Genomic DNA, 2,428 nt, shown 5'->3' on the forward strand with positions numbered 1-2,428 from the left:
TATTCTAAACAGGGCAAAAAGTACACATATCACAGAAGGATAAGAAGAATAGAAAGTAAAAGTTTAAAAAGTTCACTTTTTTAAACATTGAAGAAAAATGCTACTAGAAATCTGGTTGAGTATATGTAGTTTGCTAAAAGGAATACTGAAATACTTTGCTTTCTGGTATCCTAGTTAAAAAGCACAAAACGATCTTTAACAGGGAGAAAAATACTAAAATGTGATTTTCCCTTGCTGTTGCTCATTTGCTTACCCTGAATGAAACATTTAAAAAAGATACATATCACTGGCTGTCAAAGTCCTAGCTTTGGGGATACCTTTTATAAGCTGCACCAAAATTTCAATCTGGTGGGCTGCGGGATGGGAATGTCAAGAACAGCAGTACAGTAAAACAGAAGTCAGAGAAAGGCTTGACATAGTTTAAAAATAGCCAATATAAATTTGAAAATGGCATGAGAACACATCTGTAAGTATGCTGCTGTATTTTGTATCTGACAAGCCACCCATCATTTTCTACCTATGTTATCACTCCCAAGATCTATTTTAATATTTACTGTATGTGTTAATAAAAATGAGTAATGGAAAGCATCACAACTCAACCACATGCCACAAGCAGCCCATTAAAGCACAAATAACTTACTAATAAAAAGTTCTTATCAGAATACAGAGAATTCCAATTAGCCTTTTTATTTACTAACATTATCTTAGAGTCGACATAAAGTTAACCGCTTCCTGCTTTTAATTTAGTTCATTCTAATGACTATTTCTCTGCATCTCTACAGTTCGTTTAAGGATGAAGATGGGGATAATGAAAAACAAAAGTCCTGCCAGCACTAACATTGTCAAGCCGTGATATCGGCACTTAAAACAACCGTTTGTGAGAGAAAACCTGGTATCTGGCTTCTGACGTTTCAGTACAATCTTCTATTGTGCATCTGGATGACATCACTGTTGTGTGTGAGTCCTTGGTCCCAATAATAGCCCAGCACAGAGGCGCCAGGGCATGCTTTCATATTCACATTCATGTGGACATAACAGGACTCCTGAACTGCATGCTTCCCCCAGTGACACACGCCCCATGCCTCCAGGCTGTGCACAGGCAATGCAGTGGCAGCCCAGAGGGAGAGGTGATTTACGGTGGCTCAGGCAGACACCACTAATACCGGCTTTTCATGTGTTTGACCAACAGCCTTTGCAGAGATGTGCATACAGGGCCCTAACTGTCCAGGAGCTGCTACGGACAGAGCCCGGTAATCCCGACGACTTAGTGGATCCTGTGCCTCCCAAGGGTGGCGCCCACGGTGACTGCACACTTGTCACAGACTGGCAGGCCATTTGTCTGCTGCAGCCCACCAAATCCCACAGATCCTTTTGGATCCTTTGCAGCAGGCTTTTCATACCTTGAGTCTTACTTAATGTTCACATGAAAAAGCAACTGCTGTTTGCTGTGCTCATAAAAGTCTTGTTAGAAATTAACACCTTGTGTGAATAAAAACATCAAGTAAGTATTTATCTGAGGTCTTTTGGAAAAAATAATCCCGTGGTTAAGGTTTTACAATAGGCACTGTAGTGACAGAGGAGTGCTCCCCAAAACTACGGGGCTCTGTGAACTGCCGGTGCGCAGCAAAGCGCGGCCCATGTGTGCAGCAGAGCGCGGCCCATGTGTGCAACCTCATTCCATTAGGAAAGGTAATAAAGAGGTCAAGGATCCTGATTTCTGTCTCCAAAGCCAGGTGTCTCTCAAACATGCGTCACTGATCACAAGTGGAGGTGAAGCAGTGAGAGTAATGAAAAGTAGTTGCAGCCAGGCACGGTGGCTCACGCCTATAATCCCAGCACTTTGGGAGGCAGAGGGGGGTGGATCACGAGGTCAGGAGTTCAAGATCAGTCTGGCCAACATGGTGAAACACCGTCTCTACTAAAAATACAAAAATTAGCTGGGCATGGTGGCGCGTGCCTGTAATTCCAGCTACTCGAGAGGCTGAGGCAGGAGAACCCGGGAGGTGGAGGTTGCAGTGAGCTGAGATTGCGCCATTGCACTCCAGCCTGGGCAACAGAGCAAGACTTCATCTCAAAAAACAAAAACAAAACAAAACAAAATGAAAAAAAAAACAAAAAAAGGAAAAGCAGTTGCTACTGCTACTGCACTGTGTATGTTTTTAAAAGCTCCTCAGTTTATAACCCCCAATGTTAAATCAATGAAACAAGCATATTCTTCCAATTACCCTCATATTTTTGATGTTCAATAAGACTAAAACAAAAAAAGATATGTAGTACCATAGTAAGCTGTCATCTGGAGGAATCAGGTCTTACATTTTATTAATCAGGAAAACTAAATGTACAATTGAGTAAATTCATGTATTTATGTCTCTGTGCCTTGTAGCCATGGCATTTTCAATGATAAATTTATATGCAGTCATCCTAGACC

The 2,428-nt window shown here is 41.7% G+C and overlaps 1 long non-coding RNA gene across 1 annotated transcript; it reads left to right on the forward strand.

Moving 5' to 3' along the window:
• Positions 1-871: 871 nt before the first annotated feature.
• Positions 872-1,508, forward strand: LINC01046 (long intergenic non-protein coding RNA 1046). The gene is made up of 2 exons (NR_125745.1): positions 872-957; positions 1,190-1,508. It is a non-coding gene; the product is annotated as a long intergenic non-protein coding RNA 1046 (long non-coding RNA).
• Positions 1,509-2,428: the final 920 nt, after the last annotated feature.

The sequence above is a fragment of the Homo sapiens genome, chromosome 13, assembly GCF_000001405.40.
Source record: "Homo sapiens chromosome 13, GRCh38.p14 Primary Assembly".
Lineage (NCBI taxonomy): Eukaryota > Metazoa > Chordata > Mammalia > Primates > Hominidae > Homo > Homo sapiens.